The 20,418-nt window shown below is 39.5% G+C and overlaps 1 long non-coding RNA gene across 3 annotated transcripts in view; it reads left to right on the forward strand.

Annotated features, from left to right (window-relative positions):
- Nucleotides 1–20,418, forward strand: part of LINC02498 (long intergenic non-protein coding RNA 2498) — a 71,347-nt gene that overhangs the window by 12,236 nt on the left and 38,693 nt on the right. For 2 of the 3 annotated variants that reach the window (XR_925377.3, XR_925378.3), the window contains exon 3: nucleotides 9,268–9,427. This is a non-coding gene — a long non-coding RNA (long intergenic non-protein coding RNA 2498). Of the gene's footprint in view, nucleotides 1–1,414; nucleotides 2,546–9,267; nucleotides 9,428–20,418 lie in introns of those variants that run through there. The other variant, XR_925379.3, reaches the window with a different exon arrangement.

Raw genomic sequence — 20,418 nt, forward strand, 5'->3', positions numbered from 1 at the left:
ACTGACACCTCCTTTCCTCACTAAAGCAAAGGTCCTCTTCCCCAAGCGCTCTTGCTAAGTGAAGCTGGACTGTATTAACTTCAAAGAGTGAATTCTTTCACTATATTCATGATCTCTTGCGATATTTTTAGATGATGACCACTTACTATACAATAAACTGTTGGTAAATTGCAATACAACTATGTAGACATTGAAGATCTTATAAAACAAGAGGGCAGTTTCATTAATGACAAATTTTCAAAACACGAATCAGATTATGCAGTTAATTTCCTCCTCCTTAGCCTAGAACCTGATGTTCACTTCATGTAGCCTTCAGATCATGGTCCATTCTGTCTCAGAAAGCCCCTCCTCACTTGCTGCTCAGCAAAGCCTTCTCTGATAACCATAGCCCAATGTCCCTTAACAGAGTGGAGAGACACATAACCCCTGACTTGGTCATTCTCCTTGCCACACCTGGAAATCTGCTTTATTACAGCATTGGGAATGTAGTTGATTCCCAAACTAGGTACTCTTTGCTTTCCTTTCCCCCACATTACATTATTAGTTCTTGAATTGCAGAAAGGGTATCTCTATCTTAATTCAGCTTTGAATCTGCAGCATTCAGTCCATTGACCATGACTCAGCAGGCAAAGTGACAATTGTTGAATGAATGTTTGATGTACATAGGATGATAGCTGTTCAGTGTGGCTTCCTCACTAATGTACAGACATCTCTGGATTTTTCCTGAGGGTAGACTTTTAAATGCATTTCTGGAATTTTCTTTCTCTGTTTTCCCTAACTCGATTAATTTTTATTCCTAGGTAATTCAAATAAACTTGGCGATTTGTGATTTCTCAATTCATGGCAGATTAAAAGATAAATCAGAATATGGCATTCTTTAGAAGTGGAGCTTAAACATGAACGTTTACTTTTATTCCCTTTGAAGTTAGAGAGGGAGAGGGGATGTTGTCTGAAGAAGGAGCAATCTCCCCTGTCTCAATAGCATGAGGTGGGCTCCCGAGTGATGCGATATCCCCACAGGAGGAAACCGAAGGGAGACTGGTGAGCTGCTGGCCAGTGGCCACCAGGCTCACAGAGCTGGAATTCAAACCCATGTATGGAGAGCCAAACTCTGTGTGTGTTTGGCCCATTATGCTGTAAGTGAATAATAATGACAACATAGAGAATAGGGAAAGTTAGACAGATGTTTCCGAGACTAGAGAATTGTTTGTTGGCAGCATGTTTTATAAAATCCTGGGTTTCATAAAAAGTATTATGAGAGTTTGCTGAAGAATTTTGCTGTTAAAGAAAGCTTTAGGTGTGTTTATTACATTTCTGAGCTTAAAATGATAAAAGTTCATTTGGACTATAATTTCTGAATCTTGATTGTGTTACATGCCTCTAACATACACTTCATCCTTTCTGTGCATCTCAGGTTGGTCCCGGACAATCAGAAACCAAAGAAGAAAGCAAACAGTAGGGTTCTGCTCCTCATTAAAGGTCTCACTTTTGGTTCCTTCGGAGAAGAATGTAGGAAAACTCCTAGCACAGAGGAAATTCTGATGTATTACTCACAGAGTTTAATCAGACCATATCGCTGATATTTCATTTCAATTCTTGATATCAGGGGCGTTCCTTAAAATAGAAAATTTTAATTTCTAAGCTTTAGAATCAATAGATTGCTCTGCAATTTCTTTCACTTGGCATTTAATAACAGCACTAAGTAAATTTCCAACATATGACTGAACTCAACCCATACTGTTGACAAATTGAAAGTTTAATTTACCTGGCAGGTTAAAAAAAAGCCAACTTTTTAATTTAATTACAACACTGAAAGAACTCAGGAAGTTGAATTCAGATGTTTTAATCACTGCGATTTTTGAAGCCCTACACTAAGCCTTGTCGGGGGGATAAAGGGAGACAAATATTTAAACACAAGGGCCCTTTTATGAATACAAATATAGTTGTTCAAAGGATAGAAATGATAAAAGGAGGAATGTATAAGTTCTGTCTAGAAGATGCATTGAAGACTTTACTCTAAAGGGGATGTTTCAGTAAAGTTTTGACTATTAATAATATGCAGGAATTTGTGAGGTGTATACAGGTCTGGAGAGGGGGTTCAAACAGAGGCAACTGGAGGTGCAAAAGCAAATGGGCATGGATTTATTAGCCTGATTTGATCATTCCATAATGTATACAGGTATTGAACATTACATGGAACCCTATAAATATATACAACTATTATTTGCCAATTAAAAATAGAATCACGCTTAAAAAATACACAAATGGGCACGGACCAGCATGATGTCTGAAGAAAGACGACAAAAGGAATTGAGCAGTGCTGCAGTTGAACATGAAATGGGTGAACAGGTTCAGCCTCTACATTTTGCAGTAGGGCTGCAAAACAAGAGATGAGACAAGGAAATGAATATTAATGTTATTGAATACTGAGGTGGGATCAACACAGACACTAGAAAACACTCAAATACCTAAGACTTATAGTTAAGCTTGGCTTACTCCAGTTCATTACTTTGGGATGATTTAACTAAATAAACCATTTAAAAATCTTAAAACATTTTTAATTAATTTCCAGAGGCATAGTGGATGCACTTATATATCCCCTATCCAAATATTAATCCCCACTCATTGTTAAGTCTTGAAATAAATACAGATACTTTAAATCCTGGATTGGTAAAGTTAACATTCATTCTTTGAAGAAAAAAAGCAAAAAAACTCAACACTGTTAAATCATACCTCTAATTAAAATTAGGAAGAGATTTAAATTAATATCCAGATATAAGCCAACAGCTCAAAGAAATTAATACAAATGTCAGGAAATGGTTATATTTTCCAGCAAATACCATTAATATATTCTAAACACACCTGCTTCAGACTGCAGTTGACCGTGCAGGACGTCACTCCTGTAATCACTTAGAAAGGGACTGACTGAGCAAAGACATTTCAATTCTGGAGACTTATTCTCAAAACTTGTATTTGACGTTTTCAAAAATGAAGATAGGTTAAATTAATGGCCCCAGCTGTATCCCTGAAATTCCTCTCCATGTGTGCCAAAGATCTTTTTGTTTGTTTGTTTGTGTTTATTTTAAATGGAGTCTTGCTCTGTTGCCAGGCTGGAGTGCGGTGGCACGATTTTGGCTCACTGCAACCTCCACCTCCCGGGTTCAAGCAATTCACCTGCCTCAGCCTCCTGAGTAGCTGGGACTACAGGAGCACGCCACCATGCCCAGCTAATTTTTGAATTTTTAGTAGAGATGGGGTTTCACCATGTTGGCCAGGATGGTCTTGATCTCTTGACCTTATGATCTGCCCGCCTTGGCAAGATGTCTTTTTAACAGCATTCAAGATATTCATCAACCTGGCAGAAATTCTGGGGACAAGTTATGCTTTTTGCCATTAAGGCATGCCTCATTTGCAAACCTTGAGTCCACAGACTGCCCTGGATGGACAAATTGGGATTGTGTCCAAGAAGGCCGGAGGTTGGCCCTAGGATAAACCATACCTCCTCTTCCTATCTCTAAAGTTGAAATTGAATTGTCATGAACATTACTTCGCGTGGTGGCCGTGTGTGCACAATGTATACGGAGCTCTGTCCTCTCATTTGATTCTTTCCCTGCTGCCCAGGAGAGGGCCCACCTCCATTGCCTTTCCCTCAGACTCTCACATGGGCTTGTTAGCTCATCTTCCCCTCTCCGGTGTGGCTCTACTCCAAGTCCTTCTTTATGCTGCTGAACTATTAACTTGAATGAGTATCTGAATAATCTTTTATGAACTTCCTGTTGGCTGTAGGATAAATGATCACATGCTTTAGCTCTGCATTCATAATGAGACCCAGCATCTTTTTCCAAAAATGGCCTTCTAGTCAAGCTGCTTCCAGCCTCCAGGCCATCCCAACTCTGTCCCTGCTCTGTCCCTTTGAGCATGCTGACTCTCTGCCTGATAGTTCACGTTGCTGTTTCTTGCTCAACTCAAGAAACAAAACAAAAATGCTTCCATCGAGAAACTTCCCAAGATTCTCTGAAAGGTGGATAGCCTGACCCTTGCCTCCTGCATAAGTGGCCCTCTCTAAATTGACTGGGGACTCCTTGAGAAAGAACCTATGCTTTATTATTCTTGGTCACCAGAGTGAAGCCTAGAACCTGGCATGAAGTCCATGTTTGGTAAATGATGGCTGGATTCCACTGGAATTATGGGCCAGGTGTCAACCACGCTGAGATACATGTGAGTGGCCTTTCCTGTTTCCTCCTGGCAATTCTGAGAGGCTTAACTGAGCTGAGCAAGAGGCAGAGTTCAGTTAATTTTGTTCCATGATCTGCAGGCATGTGATAGGGGATGGAAGATCACAGTCATTCAAAGAAGGACTCGCAGCATGAAGCTTAAAGCCATGCATATGGGCTGCATCATAGGCTGATCCCACAGGCCCTGGGGATTTTCTCCTCTCAAGCTGTGAGTCTCTGTGGCAACCACATTTCCCAAAGCTTCTTTCAGGGGAAAGAGACTATTTTAGGTAATGAAGACTTTGGTCACATTTCAAACATACCATTCTTAGGGAAAACAAAAATTGGAGTCTTTCTTCCTAAAAACTTTCCCATTCTCTTTACTCCTCTTTGTACTTAATCCAGTACCTCTGTGCTGAAGGAGGCTGCTGGAGCCAGGAAAGGACTCTCTCTAACACCTGGAAATGCTCCAAAATGCCTATGGTGGGTGAAGTGTAGAGCAAACCCCCTCACTTCACTCCCAAAGCCTGTCTCATTTTGGCATTAGGCTACATAACCACCCTTTTCTCTCCCTGCTAAGTCAAAATGTAGCACTTACCGCTCTGCAAATTTGTTACGCAAATATTCTTTTTAGTGCGTTTGATTAATAATGGTAGCACACTAAAGTGGAGAATACAAAACACTAAAATGCATATATAAATGTATATACATATGTATATACAACATATATATGGAGAGTGAGAGAGAAAGGGGAGAGAGAAAGGCAGAGAAGAAAAAAATTGTCTTGAAACCTTTTGAAGGCTGTAAGGCAGGTGCTGTTTACCAGATTGTACAAGGGGGGAAACTGAGGCTCAAAGGATAAGTTCATTTCTCATGAGTAGTGAATGAACAGGCTGGATTTGAACTCTAGTTTGCAGTACTCTTAGTACTTTCTGTAAATGGCCCTGCCATGCATCTTCTCCAGAAAGCACAACTAATTATACATGTAAGGCAAAGTCCAGAAAAAAGAATTTGTGGTAAAGAAGCAACGCAAGTTTCAGTGAGAAGTTGTTTTCTCTGCCATTTCTATTCATCATGCTTTCAGCTTTTCTTGGGTTATTTCTGCTTAGTGAAACATCAATATCTTTATGCTTCACTATTTTATTAACTATATTAAACAGGGGAATTGCACTCACAAAATGTACTTTAAAAAATACAAATGTTCTGCAAACAGAGGCATTGTTAGAATTGTTATCATTGTTATGAACGTTTATCTTGCTGTAGTTTGTTGGTTTGTTTTTTCATCTAATCTTTTTTATTGTACATATATTGGGTGGAGCCTACTAATTGCTTCCTCAATATCCATTTTCCCTTTCTTCTTAATGGATGAGGCTTCTTGTGTTTGCTCATTGGCAATGTTCTCATCTAAAAACTACATTTCTCATCTTCCCTTGTGGTTAAAGATGGCCATGTGACACACTTTGGGATAACTTTGTGTAAGCAGAAATCATTAGGCAAACTCTTACAAAAGACCCTTAAAAAGTGGACTTGGCTGGTCAATATCTTTTAACCACTTTCCTTTCCATATTTGCTTTTCTAGAATGCAGAAATAGAGGTTGAGATTGTTGGGATTTGAGTATCCTGTGACTATACAGACAGTGCCTACCAACATAGACACAAGGACTTTGTTCTTAACATCCTCAAGCCAATGAACCATAGCCAACAAAACACCTACTCAGTAACTTCTTATGTGAGAGAATAAAAATAAACATCTAACTTGATTAAGCTTCCATTATATAAATTTTCTGTTGTGTGTTGCTAAACTCAACCCCTCAGTGAAATAGCCATCCAAAAGAAGCAATATATATTGTAAAAGTCCCAGACTAGAAATCTGAGATCCCTTCATTGGTCTTCCAGCCACAGTTCTTTTCTTTACGCCTAGCTAGTCTCCACATTTTAGCCAGATCGGTCTTTCTACTGCCTTATACTAAATATTACAACAAATTTTCATTGTTTAAGGACAAATTCTGAAACACTTGTAATTAGAAGTCACTTCTAGATCTGGCCCCTGCCTACCTCCCCATCCTCATAATTCATTTCATTGCCACTCTCTCTCCCCTGCAGCCACAGTGATCTTATTTCCCCAGTGCACTGCATGGTTATTTGGTTTTCCATTCTGATTGCTATTCCTTTTGCTCAGAGCATTCTCTCGATCATGACCTTCTCTTTAAATATCAAAATAAATGGAACTCTGTTCACAAATACCTTTTATGTCACTGTGGCTATCCCCTTTAGAAAAATTGCATTTACTTTCTCAATGTCTTGCTCACTGGACTGTTGACTGTTCCCAGTGTCTTGCCTACTAGACAGGTGATGATGACAGAAGGGACCCTGAGGTGTCTTGTTTATAGTAATATCCCTAAAACTTATTCTAGTGCTAGGCATAAGGAAAACACTCAACTTATTATATGAGTGTAAACTTCAGAAAGTCATCTCTCTTGTCTCAGAGTTTTGCTTCTGGGAGAAACCTAAATTAAGGCTTCAAATGCAAATTTATTTAGAAGGTGATCCCAGGAAAAACTAGAGGAGTGAGAAAGTAAGGGACAGAAAAAATAAGAAGCTAATAAGGAAGATATTATTATATCAAGCAATGTTTGATCATGCACATTTTGGCACTGCGGACAGCTTATTCCACTGAGGAATTTTAAGAAACAGTGGAGAACAAATCTGAGTTATATTGCCAAGGGGCGAGGGAGCTCTGGGGCATTAAGCAATCAGCTCCAACCAGGCATTGATTAAAGGCTGTTGGGTAGTGGTGGTAATAACACTCCAGCACTGCTGGCCTGCCTGGCAAGCAGGTAGGCAAAACTTGTCTTCTAAAGAAAACCAAACTTTCTAGGGAGACAGCCTGGATTCTGGCAACTGGCAACGAGGGAGTATGAATGGATGGTAAATGCTGAGGGGATACAAATGAACACCCACAGAGCCCCTCACATCACTACACTTATCTCAGCCAATACTCCTCATCATAAAATGGATTTGGCAGCCACCTGGAATATTTCTGCAGATTGAACTATTGAATCTATTTGAAACATGAATCTTCTGATCAATCTTTAATAGAATAATGTTGTTCCACACAGGCTTATTTCCTTGGAAAATGGAGAGTCATTTCTTTTTATGGTAAACTTAAGTTGAAACATCATTTTTATTATATATTATATCGGTCTCTGTCAAGTCACCTAGACCTAAGACTTGATGGGGATTTTAAGATAGGCATCGCTTTGTCTACTAGTTTGTAGTTGTAACAAATAGGAAAAAATCTAGCACAGGCTGGTTTGCTGAGCGGTGATGGGTGCCATGGACAGAGGCAAGGCTTCTGCCTGGAATAGATCAAACTCTCTTCACCTGGCCTAACCATAAACTTGGGTGAACCTGGATACAGGTAAATGACCTTTTCTCATCTATAAAATAGGAATGGTAACTTATATAATGCATATTTATTATGAATATTTGTGACATATATATATACATATTCTATACATAGAATAGAAATTTGGCATCACATTATATGGGTTTTTATTCCAGCCTCACCACATTGGGAGCACCTCTTAATCTAAGTTTCAGTTTCCTCATTTGCTTAATGAGTGTTATAATGGTATGCTTCTTATTTTGTTTTAAGAATTAATAAAGTACATTTTAAAAGTTCCTGGCATTCAGAATGTGCTCAATACAGGCTAGTTACAATTATTTTATTGGCATTAATATTAATAATAATGGCATTATTTTCAAGCAATTATTGCTGTGTAGTTTTTACCAGCCTTGCAACTTTGTACTTGTGATGTTTATAAAAAGTGAACATATCTTTTGATGGTAAGCTTTGACTAACATTTTTTGCATCAAACTCTGTGTGCAGATCATCATTCAAGTATTTGGAATTTTTTATCATGTGGGAATTTTTAATTTAGAAGGGAGCCCAGGGCTTCAAATGATCCATGCAGAGAGAATGGGTGATAATTTGGTATTCAACCTTAAAGAAAACTTTCATTCATCTCAGATCTTTGCCCCTTGTCTCTCGTCACTATCTTGCTGATGGCTGCTTCTAAATGAAGCATTGCCATAAATTGTAATGGGTAACCAGGAGTCATTAGTCCTCTGTTGAGGGTCAAGTCACTAAATGGTAAAATTGGTAATAATCTTTTCTCTCTTTACCCAAATCACTACTCCAACTCCAATAAGTGTTGGTCTAGCACATTTGCACGTCACCCTGAAACACCTCTAGGGTGCTTTAGCCTTAAGGTGCAGAGCTGATACATTAACAAGAATGTCTTTTGCATTGAGGCTATCAGAAGATTCCCTTCAACCATGACTTTAATTGCCAATTACAGATGGAAGTCAAATTTGCAGGGAGCAGAACGTTCATGCATAAGGAGGGATGAAAGTTCAATGTTTTTTCTGTGAGAGGCACAGTGTTACTTTTAAAGATCAAACTCAGCTCAGATTTGTCACGGCATTTTAGAACTTGAAGGCATCCAAGGGGCCTTCTGGTTATAATTGCCTTGTTTTACAGATGAAATCAGGCTCAGAGAGGTTAATTACTTGCTCAAGGTCAGCTATGGCAATGCTTCTCAAACTTTGATGAGAATAGGAATCCACCTGAGTGGATCTTGTAACAATGCAGTAGGTCTTGGGTGGGATCTGAGATTCTGCATTTCCACAAGCTCAAAGGGAATGCAGCTGCAGCTGCTTCATGGGTGACTTTAAGTAGCAAGGGAATTCTACGACAGCTAAATGAAAATGCAGACATTTTTGACACCTCACTTATTATTTTATTTTACCTACTGAATTTTACCTTGTTGCTGAAAATGGAATGTCCAAAATCACCAAGGCTTAGAGTAATGACTGTCATTAGTCACCTGGGGAGGAGTGGTATACTTTTTAATTAATCAGATTAAACATTTATAAAACATTTAAGCAAATTGTCAACAAATCTATTGGTTAATCCATTTGAATGCCATCAACATGCCTAAGTATTGTGTGGTGGATGCTATGATGTGTCACACAGAACTTCTTTTAGGATGACAGGATGGAGTCTCCAGCTGTGAAAGTGTTGCTGCAGACAGCCCTCAGCTTCCAGTTCTTGTAAAAATGGCCTCAGCTTCAGAGAGCTCCATTACCCAAGCTCATTCATTTCCTGGGGTGTTCTGCATCCAGTGAGTGTTCTGTGGACTTGCCAGGTAATCATTCTTCCTGCTCCCCAATTATGTCATTGGAATAAACATTTGTTACAGGATTGCGTTCCCTCAAATTTATATGTTGAAGTCCTAACCCCCTAGGACCCAAGAATATGACCTTATTTGGAGATAGCCTTTTTAAAGAGGTAATTAGGGTAAAATGAGGTCATATAGATGGGTCCAAATCCAATATGATTGATGTCTCTATAAGAAGAGGAGATTAGGTTACAGACACACACAGAGGGAAGGCCATGCTAAGATGCAGGGAGAAGATGGCCATCCGTAAGTCAAGGAGAGGGTCCTTGGGAGAAACCAACCCTGTCAACACCTTGATTTTGTACTTCTGGCCTCCAGTATTGTGAGAAAACAAATTTCTGTCATTTAATCCCCTCAGTCTGTAGTACTTTGTCATGGAAGCCCTGGAGAATGTTTTACAACATCCTTGGTGGTTGTCACAACTCTGCAGATTCCTTGGCTTAATAGGTAAGAGCTTTTGTAATAAGGAAGGCCAAGCAAAAGTCTCTGAAACCGGATGTCCCTTGGCCAAAGGAGTAAATCTAAATAATATTGAATACCGAGGGAAGTGGCAGAAATTAATATCACTCTTAAAGATTTAAAGTATGTGAGGATAGTGGTCTCCATTATTTTGTAATTTAATGTCTCAGTCTAGATCCTACAAAACCCACACGGATTCTGATGGACAATAAAAAACTCTTGCCAATTCATCCAAGGAGTGGCCCTGATTACAGATGCTAGACCGTGTGTGGGATGTTACTAGAGCAGGTTAACATGTTTCCAGGTACATTGCATGTGCACATCAATCTAGCAAGCCATTCTTTTAGATCCCTACTAGAAACAGGATAAAAGTTTGCATTGCTCTGGAATGAACAATAGCCCAACTCTGAACTGTCCTGCTTAGGGCTATATTAACTTGCCCCTGCTTTAATACATAGTCCTGATCTGAAGATTCTAGGAACAGCTGGACATTCTGCAGAACAGACGCCAGTCCGTGATGTTCATGATATTATCCTAGTCAGATAGAATGAGCAAGACGTGGCTAGTTCATTGGAAACTTTCATAAGACACATGCACACCAGAGGGCAGGAGATAACCCCTTCAAAGTTCCATACCTACAGGTCTTCAGATATTTATTTTCTGCCAGGACAGGGATAAAAGAGGCTGAAACATGTTTACATCTAGATTCTTTAGCCTCAAAGAAATTTTCCCATTGTAGATTTAAAAAACAGCTTAGGGATTTAAAAAATGATATTTTATGTTAGTGTCTGTCTTCCCATGGGCTTTAAACTATATGAGAATCTGACTGGCTATACTAAGTTAAACACTTACATTTTCTCCCTGTTACTGGGGAAAATGTTTGTTTTTGATGATGAAATGAAGCAATATATATGAGATACTTAGTACCTGTTATGTAATAAGCTCAACAGATCTTAGCATGTCAATTTGTTGTTAGCTATTGGTGTTCAATAAATTTTTATTGAATGTCTACCATGTTCCAAGCTTGATTAAAGAAAGCCATCTTATAATATCAGAGTTCAAAGAACACTTAAGTTTAATAGAGCTGTTTCAAGGATAAAATGAGTTAAGGTAGGTTAAATATTTAGAACAGTTTCTGGTACATATTTACTTCTCAAAAAAGTTAAATATTTTTAAGGTTAATTTTCTTTTTCTACAGGTAAACAAAGTAGGCTTATATATTGGGGCTTGATCTTCTAGAAAATAAGGAATCCTTGTAAGTTCTAGACTATCAGAGAAAATTTTAGGAAAATTAACCTGGCAGAGAACAGTGGAAAAGCATTAGGTCACAAAAAGGCTACAGCTAGACCAGCATCTCTCAGCCTTGGCACTGCTGCCATTTGGGCCACATAGGCTTTGTTGTGGTATATTAATCCAATTTCACGCTGCTGATAAAGACATACCCAAGTCTGGGCAATTTACAAAATAAAGAGGTTTAATGGACTCACAGTTCCACGTGGCTGAGGATGCCTCACAATCATGGTGGAAGGTGAAAGGCACGTCTCACATGGCAACAGACGAGAGAAGAGAACTTGTGTAGGGAAACTCCCCTTTATAAAACCATCAGATCTCATGAGACTTATTCACTATCAGGAGAATGCTACAGAAAAGATCCTCCCCATGAATCAATTACCTCCCAACAGGTCCCTCCCACAACATGTGGGAACTGTGGGAGCTACAGTTCAAGATGAGATTTGGGTGGGGACACAGCAAAACCATATCATGTGGGTAGCTGCCATTTGCACTGTAAGATATTTAGCAGCACCTACATCCCCAGTAGAAGCTCCGCAGTTGTGACAACCAAATTGTCTCCAGACATTGCCAAATATTCTTGGGGTGGGGTGGGGGTAAAGATGAATGTGGCTGAGAACTGCTGGACTAGATAGAAGGAGGGATCTGCTTGAGTTGGGGCAGGAGTCAAGGAATCTATTTTTTTATTTTTTTTTGAGATGAAGTCTTACTCTGTCACCCAGGCTGGAATGCAGTGGTGCAATCTCAGCTCACTGCAACCTCCACCTCCCGGGTTCAAGCAATTCTTCTCCCTCAGCCTCCCAAGTAGCTGGTATTACAGGCCTGTGTCACTACGCCCGGCTAATTTTGTGTGTGTGTGTTTATAGTGGAGACAGGGTTTCACCATATTGGCCAGGCTGGTCTCGAACTCCTGACCTTAGCCACCTGAAGTGCTGGGATTACAGGCATGAGCCATCACTCCTGGCCTGGAATTCTCTTGTTAGAAAATATCACAGGGAAGGGTCTGGGGGAACTGGATGATTCATTAATTAGGAGTCAAGGAAAAGAAAGAATTGAAGATGATTCCAAGTTTTGTGTTTGTTTCCTGAATACTTGTGAGTAACAATAATAATGTGTATAGAAAGAGGGAAGCTGACTTTTGGTAGAAATATGTGAGTTTTGGTTTTTTATGTTCTAGTGGAAAAGAGATGGGGGCTAATCAAGATTGCTTATTTTTGTGCAGATAATTTTGCATATGTTGTTAGTGCACTTAATAACCTGACTACCTGAGAGCAAGTCATCATTTTCCTTTTTCTGCATGTAATATGAGATTCCAAGACCAAATGACCTTTCTAAAGCCACAGAGATTTTAGGTGATACAGCAGAGGGTGCACCTATATTTCCTGATTCCAAACTCCATGTTGTGTCTATTGTCCTCCACTGCCTTCTTAGGGGTACAAAAGTGAGTTCTGGGAGGAGATGTGGTTTGTCCCAGCATAAAGGAAGAGAGAGGCTCATTTTTTCCCAGATGGTGAGTGTGTCAGAATCACATTGCCTTAAATGTGTCTAGAGTTAGCATCTGCATGACTGCACCCCCAACAAGGCTCTCACTTGCATCCGGCCTTTTCCAGCAAGCAGACAACTCCAGCATGCAGTTGGAATTTGACACCCAATGCACATACTGACACCACCAGTGAATCACATGCCTGTGTTTTCTCGGCTTTAAACAGAAGGCGGATTTTGACAGCGGGGTGCCAACTCACCTCTAAGGAGCTATTACTAATATGCTTTCTTTCAAAGCTGCTTTCTTTATGGCCATGTTAAAATTCCTTTTCTAGTATCATGGAGCATGTGAATCTGGCAGGGGGCAGCAGGCCAGAGATGGATATGAGGTCAGTGAGCAAAGCAATGTGGGCACCCTAGCTGCTAGAGTGAGGTAATTTTTCTTGAGAATTGTGCTGTGCGTGTTGGCTTCCAAAATGCCTAGCTTTGGTTTGCTGGTTTAGCGTAAAAATTAAAGGTAACAGTTAATCCAAAAACAACCTTTCTGCAGAAGGTGACTCAAAAGCCAACAGATATATACTGAAATAAACCAAAGATGTCTCAAAGGATTCACAATACATTGTTGACAGCAGTTGCCTCTGGAAAGAATCAGGAGTGAACACGTTCACAACAACTTACTTTTCACTGTATATGTTTATTGATTATTGGAATTCTTCGTCATGTGAATGCATTATTTGAAAAAGAAGCACATAGTGGTAGAAACTGCTAGAGTGGCAACTTTTGGGCTGTGAGTAGTGAGCAGAAGGAGACATATGGGGATTTCTAAAGACAATGAGAATGTTCCGCTTCTGGAGCTGGATAGTAACTTTGTGAACATTCATTGAGCTGTCCACTAAGGGTACGTGCCCTTCTTCGGAAGCACATTTTCATAAAACATTCAAAACAAAATTTGTTTAAAAGTTAAGCAAAAAAGCCCATTCCAGCAAATTTGGTAGACTGAGTGATTTATCCATTTATATATTTATTTAGTATTTTTAAAATTATCCTTTTTAAAACAAAGGTTTTTTTTAAACTTAAGATTATCTTTGTGTTTGCTTTGTGACACAAGCTGAGAATACAAAGGTGAGTAAGGAAAGCTCTTTATCTTTGAGAAGACCTGGCTTTGTGATGGGGAGAGAAGTTCTATTACAATGAAGCAAGGAGATATGTGTGTTCATCTCTTATTGCTGGTGTAACTAATTACCACAAACTTTGTGGCTTAAAGCAACACAATTATTCTCATACAGTTTCTAGAGGTCAGAAGGGCAACATAGTCTCATTGGGATAAAATCAAATTGTCAGTACGCCTGGGTTTCTGCATTAGGTTTCAGGGAAAATTCAGTTTTTTTGCCTTTTCCAGCTTCCAGAGGCCAGCCACATTTTTTTTGGCTCGTCATCCCCGTGTCCATCTTCAAAGCTCATAACTCCAACCCCCGCTTCTGCTGTCTCATCACCTTCTTCTGACTGTAGCCACTTGCTTCCCTCATTTCTTTCTCTCAACACAGTGGGTGATTACTTTAGCACTAACAAGATGATCCAGGATTATCTATCTCAAGATTCTTAACTTAATCACATTTGCAGAGTCCTTTTTGCCATCTAAGGTAGCAAATTCCAGGGTTCTGGGAATTGAGACAAGAATATCTATGGGATGCCAGTATTTCATCTACTATAGTGTATACTATCAGTGGCTTAAAGTAAAGGAAGCAGTGAGCATAGTCAGTGTGGGGCTTAGGTAGAGATGGGAGGCAGCAGGTAGCAGGTAATACTTCAAGTGACCTGAAGGAAGGGTAAGCATCAAATGGAAACAGGTGGACATAGGGCCCACAGGATGTCAGAGATGGGGAATTACATACACAAGCTGCCATGAAAGTGTTATAAGTGTTGTCTAATAGGCTTGCCCAGGTCCAACTCCCACAAAGGATTTTCCTAGGGAAGGAACTTTCTAACCAAATCTGCAGGACAAGTAGGAAATGAATGGGAAAGAAAGTTAAGGGTGAGCATTTCAGGCAGAGGGATCAGTCTATGCAAAATTCAGATGGCAGGAGGGGAGGAGCACTAAATGTCTTAGAAGTTGATGGGCAACAATATGGCCTAGCTCAAGGAGAGAGAGTTACAAGAAAAACCTCAGGATGAAGACCAACAAACTAAGGAAAGAAACCACAGCTGTGGAGCTTCAAGTAGCATCTTGCAGGAGGGAACAATTTTAGGTCAACATTGAAATCTCACCCATTTCTAGGCAGTTCCTCGTCAGCAGCATCTTTATGATAATAGACAGAAACACATCTGCTTTGAATTTTTAGAGGCATGAGAGAAAAATAATTTAACCCTCCCAAGTGCCTTTCACATTCTAAAAATGACCTTCAGATTTATATGAAGAGGGACTGCAAATTATGAATTATGTCTATGTCATCATCTTGATTCCTGCACAGTTAAGTTTCTTCATTTATTCTAGGTAGGCCCAGAGTTAGGGGTCCAAGGACATTACACACAGGACAGTTATAACTCGAATACGATTGCTACCCATTTTAGTCCTTCACAGCAGCTATTGTCCTAGCATTCAAGTCCTCCCTAAAACATGTCTCACACTCATTCTAGCTATGCTACCTATTCCAATGCTGTTTCCAGAGTAGTCTCTGTTCCAACAAGATTTTTTTTATTCCCCATTTCCCCAAATAAATCATCTATTTTCCCCATCTCCCTGCCTTTCCTTCTGCCATCATTCTACCCACCATCCCTGGAATGAACAACCCATTCTACAGGGTCTTAGTGTCTTCATCTTCCAGTTAAATTGTTCCTGACTGAGCCAAGACATGCAATGTGCATCTGTCTTAATTCTTGTGACATTATTGGGACAGTGAGGCATGATGGAAGACGTGAACTTTGAAATTCATGAGTTCAGGCTGACCATGTGATAGCTTGGGGGAAAATAATCCAATCCCTGGAATTTTCATTTTCTTTACTTTATGAATGAACAAACAAAAGCAAAACAAGAGTGTATTCAAGAGGGAAAACACTCTTCAACTACCATCTGCCAATAGTTTGTTGTGCCTTCTTAGGGATTGGGGAAAATATCCTCAGGGTTTGTTGGCCGTGTTTGCCGACATGCCTTGATAGGCCCAGTTGGATATGAAATATGATAACCCCTCTGCCCTAGAGCAATGTCAAAAGAGCAGTGCAAGGCCAGAAAAGGGGCATTAGTCAAGGTTCTCCAGGGAAACAAATAATAGGACACATACATACACAAATATATAAAGAGATTTATTTTTAAAAATTGGCTTATGCAATTATAGGAGCTGGCAAGTCCAAAATTGTCAGTATTCCATACTGGAAATTCTACCAAGAGTTGATGTTTCAGTCTTGAATCCAAAGGCAGTCAAGAGGCAGAACCCCTTCCTCATTAGGGACTTCAGTCTTCTCTTTCATTCTACTGACTGGATGAGGCCCATCCACACTCTGGAGGGTCATTTACCTTACTCAGAGTCTCCTGATTTAAATGTTAATCACCTCTTAAAAATACCTTCACAGTGACATTCAGTCTTGTGCTTGACCAAAAAGCCAGGAATCATGGCTTAGCCAAGTTGACACATAAAAATAACCATCACAAGAGGTGACCCATTCTAAGAACTTAACAGGATTTGCAGATATTTTTTCCTATTTCTTAGGTTGTCTCTTCACTCTGTTGATTGATTTTTTAGCTGTGCAGAAGATTTTAGTTTGACATAATCACATTTGTCTATTTTTGCTTTTGTTGCTGGTGCTTTTGGGGTCATATCCAAAATACATGTCATTGCCTAGAGCAATATTATGAAGCATTTTCTCTATTTTTTTGCCTAGTAATTTTACAGTTTCAGGTCTTATGTTTAAGTCTTTAGTCCATTTTGAGTTGATTTTTGTACATGGGATGAGATAAGGGTCTAATTTTAGTCTTCTGATTGTGAATATACAACTCTCTCAGCACCACTTACTGAAGAGACTGTGTTTTCCCATTGTGTGTTCCTAGCACTCTGTCAAAAGTCAGTTCATTAAAAATGTGTGAATTTATTTCTAGGCTCTCTGTTCTGTTCCATTGGTCTATGTATCTGCCTTTCTTTTCTTTTCTTTTCTTTTCTTTTCTTTTCTTTTCTTTTCTTTTCTTTTCTTTTCTTTTCTTTTCTTTTCTTGAGATGGAGGCTTGCTCTGTCACCCAGACTGGAGTGCAGTGGCATGATCTCAGCTCACTGCAGCCTCTGTCCCCTGGGTTCCAGCGATTCTCCTGACTCAGCCTCCTGAGAGTAGCTGGGGCTATAGGCACATGCCACCACACATGCTAATTTTTGTATTTTTAGTAGAGATGGGGTTTCACCATGTTGGTCAGGCTGATCTCAAACTCCTTACCTCAGGTGATCCACCTGCCTTGGCCTCCCAAAGTACTAGGATTATAGGTGTGAGCCACTGCTCCCGGCCTATGTATCTGCTTTTAATGCCAGTATCTTGCTGTTTGGGTTACAATAGCTTTGTAGTATATTTTGCCGTTAGATAGTGTGATGATTCCAGCTATTTTTGTTCTTTTTGATCAAGATTGCCTTGGTTATTCAGGGTCTTTTAGGTTCCATATGAATTTTTGTTTCTTTTTCCATTTCTATGAGATATGTCTTTGGAATTTTGATAGGGATTGCATTAAATTTGTAATTTTTTGAGTAATATAAACTTTTTAATAATATTAATTATTCCAATCTATGAACACAAGTTAGGAATTCCCTGGGGCGACTGGAGCCACTGGAAGTCTTAGTGGAAATGATACAGTAGAGGTGACAGAGCTCAAGATACTAGAGGTAGTTTTGAGGCAGGGAGTTCTTGAGCAACTTCGTACAAAGTTAGCAGGAAGAAGAAGTAACCAGTGACATTTCCCCAGTATTATGCAAACAAGAAACTTTAAGAATAGTATGTCTGAATATATTTTTTAGAAATATCATTTTATGGTATATGTTCAGTGATATGCTTACCTGCCAATCCCAAATCTTCAGGAATCTCTGAAAAACATTGCTTTTGTAGTTGTTTTGGAGAACCAAGGGCAAAGGGGTTGTCACGATGTTTGAGTTGTTTGAGAATAAATCAACTATGGAAGATGAAACACAGGGAGGTCCAGAATCTAGCAGAGGAAGGAAGGATGCTAGAACAAGAAGGGAATAGAAATGAAGTCTTCATGATCTATGGAGATTTACTTCCAAGTGGCAGAGAGTTGGTTCTCTCCTTTATGGACAATGAGGTTTAAGCCATTTTAAATTTAAATGTTCAGGGCAAATAGCCAGAAGACAAGAGCATTTAGAGATACTCAGGTGACAGTAGGGTTAAAGCATTTTGTAGAATTGCAGGGATGATTAAATTAGTCAGCATATTTTCAGGTTTAGTACAGTGTCCAGGACATTTTAGGTGTTTAATAATTGAAAGCAGTTGTTGTCTATACCATTGTTATTAACATATAATTGTTATTTGTGAACACGTCTTATCTACCTTATCACTGTGATAACTTTGTAATTCCTTGAATACAGAGACTGAGTCTCACCAATCATTTCATAAGGATTTACAGATACTTCCTACTTGAAAGCATAGCACAGAATACCTGGGAGATACCAAGGTAAATCCACTGATCTCATCTCAAATGAATTCATAATCTAAAAGAAGAGATAAAATTCAAACAGATAATTTCAATGCAAGCTACAAAGTGGCATCTCAAATGGTGGCCCTTGATTTTTTTGTTTGACCCACACAAAACTTTTTTTTTTTTTTAATTTGCTGCCAACATTTCAGAATCTAGAAGTTTTACACTAAAAAAATCTGAATTTCTTTAAGTTTCTCTTTAGAAGCTGGAAAGGGGCTGCGTGTGGTGGTTCACACCTGTAATCCCAGCACTTTGGGAGGCCGAGGCGGGCAGATCACGAGGTCAGGAGATCACGACCATCCTGGCTAACACGGTGAAATTCCATCTCTACTAAAAATACAAAAAAAGTAGCCAGGCATGGTGGCGGGCGCCTGTAGTTCCAGCTACTCGGGAGGCTGAGGCAGGAGAATGGCATGAACCCGGGAGGTGGAGCTTGCAGTGAGCCGAGATGGTGCCACTGCACTCCAGCCTGGGTGACAGAGCAAGACAGAGACACTGTCTCTCTTAAAAAAAAAAAAAAAAAAAAGCTGGAAAGGATACTTACTGCTGTCCCAGTACTAACTGATGATCAACGATATTTACTGGGTTAATGAACACATTAAGAAATACATGAATGACTAAGTAGAATCATCAGTATATCAAAACAATGTTTGCTCCAAGAGGGCAGGAACTCTATCTATTCTGTTTGCTTCTATGCCTACAGTATGTTAAAACCTAATATTGGCTCAACGAACATTTGTTGAATTAATGATGAGCCCTTCTATGAGGAACTGTAAATAATCTATGGAATTTATTGATTTGAAACCTCCAGTAGAAGTTCAAATGGGGAGTCTAAATGTAGTCTCCCGCCCCCTTGACCATAAATGACTAGAAATTGAGAGTTTATTTCATGCCATGGGCCAAAAGGAAGGAGCAGAACAAAGAAGAAAGGAGCATTATGAGCCAAATTCCCTAACATGCCTTCATGGAAAACAACCTGGAGCTATGTTAATAATTGCAACGATACCTGCCATTCATTGAGATCTCTGAGAATGCTAACTGCTGAGTTAAACATGCTCACATACAGTCCATTTAGTGCTCACAACAAACCTATGATTTCATGTATTAGTTATCTATGACCACAGTAGTACTGCAAAGCAAAAAACTGCAAAACCATAGTAAGTGTTAATTATTGCTCACACATCTGGGGTCAAAGCAGTACTGATTATCTGAGCTGGACTCACTCGAGTCCAGGGGTCAGCTGATGCTTGACTGACTTAGGCAAGCTTTGGCTACTGTGAGTCTATTCCACCTGTTTCTCATCCTTGGAGGTTAGCCCCAGCATGTTCTCATCCTGACAGCAGAAGTGCAAAAGCACAGCATCTCTGTGCAAGTACATTTTCAGGCCTCCATTTGCATTATATTTTTTTCATATCTCATTGGCAAAGCAAATCATTTGGCTCATCTATATTCCTGGGGTGGCGAAATAGATTCTGCTTTTTTAGTGAGGATGGTCAAAGCAGTATATGGCAAATGGTACAGATACTTGGAGGTTAAAAAAAATTATGACCATTGGCTGGGCACAGTGGCTCACACCTGTAATCCCAACACTTTGCTAAACCAAGGCTGTACTAAGGTATGTATATATATATCCGGGCATGGTAGGGATCCCCTGTAGTCCCAGCTTCTCCAGAGGTGACGTGGGAGGATCTCTTGAGCCCAACAGTTTGAAGCTGCAGTGAGCCATGATTGCGTCACTGCACTCCTGCCTGGGCAACAGACTGAGACCCTGTCTAAAAAAACTAAAGACTATTTGTAAAAGATATTTATAACAATCTGGTAAAGTCAATCCAATCCCTGTTGTAAAAGTCATTATATATTTGTTTTATCATGTAGGTGACTTTAATACCCTAATACTTTTACAATATCATGAATTCAGTTGAGCCTACACTTACTTGGTAGACTCTACTTTTCTGTGAGCTTAATGTTGATGGTATGTATTCACTTATAAATAAATCTCCTACCTGAATTTAACTTCCTTTTCAATCCAGTTCTCTTGGAGGAAGCATAG

Source organism: Homo sapiens, chromosome 4 (genome assembly GCF_000001405.40).
Source record: "Homo sapiens chromosome 4, GRCh38.p14 Primary Assembly".
Classification (NCBI taxonomy): domain Eukaryota; kingdom Metazoa; phylum Chordata; class Mammalia; order Primates; family Hominidae; genus Homo; species Homo sapiens.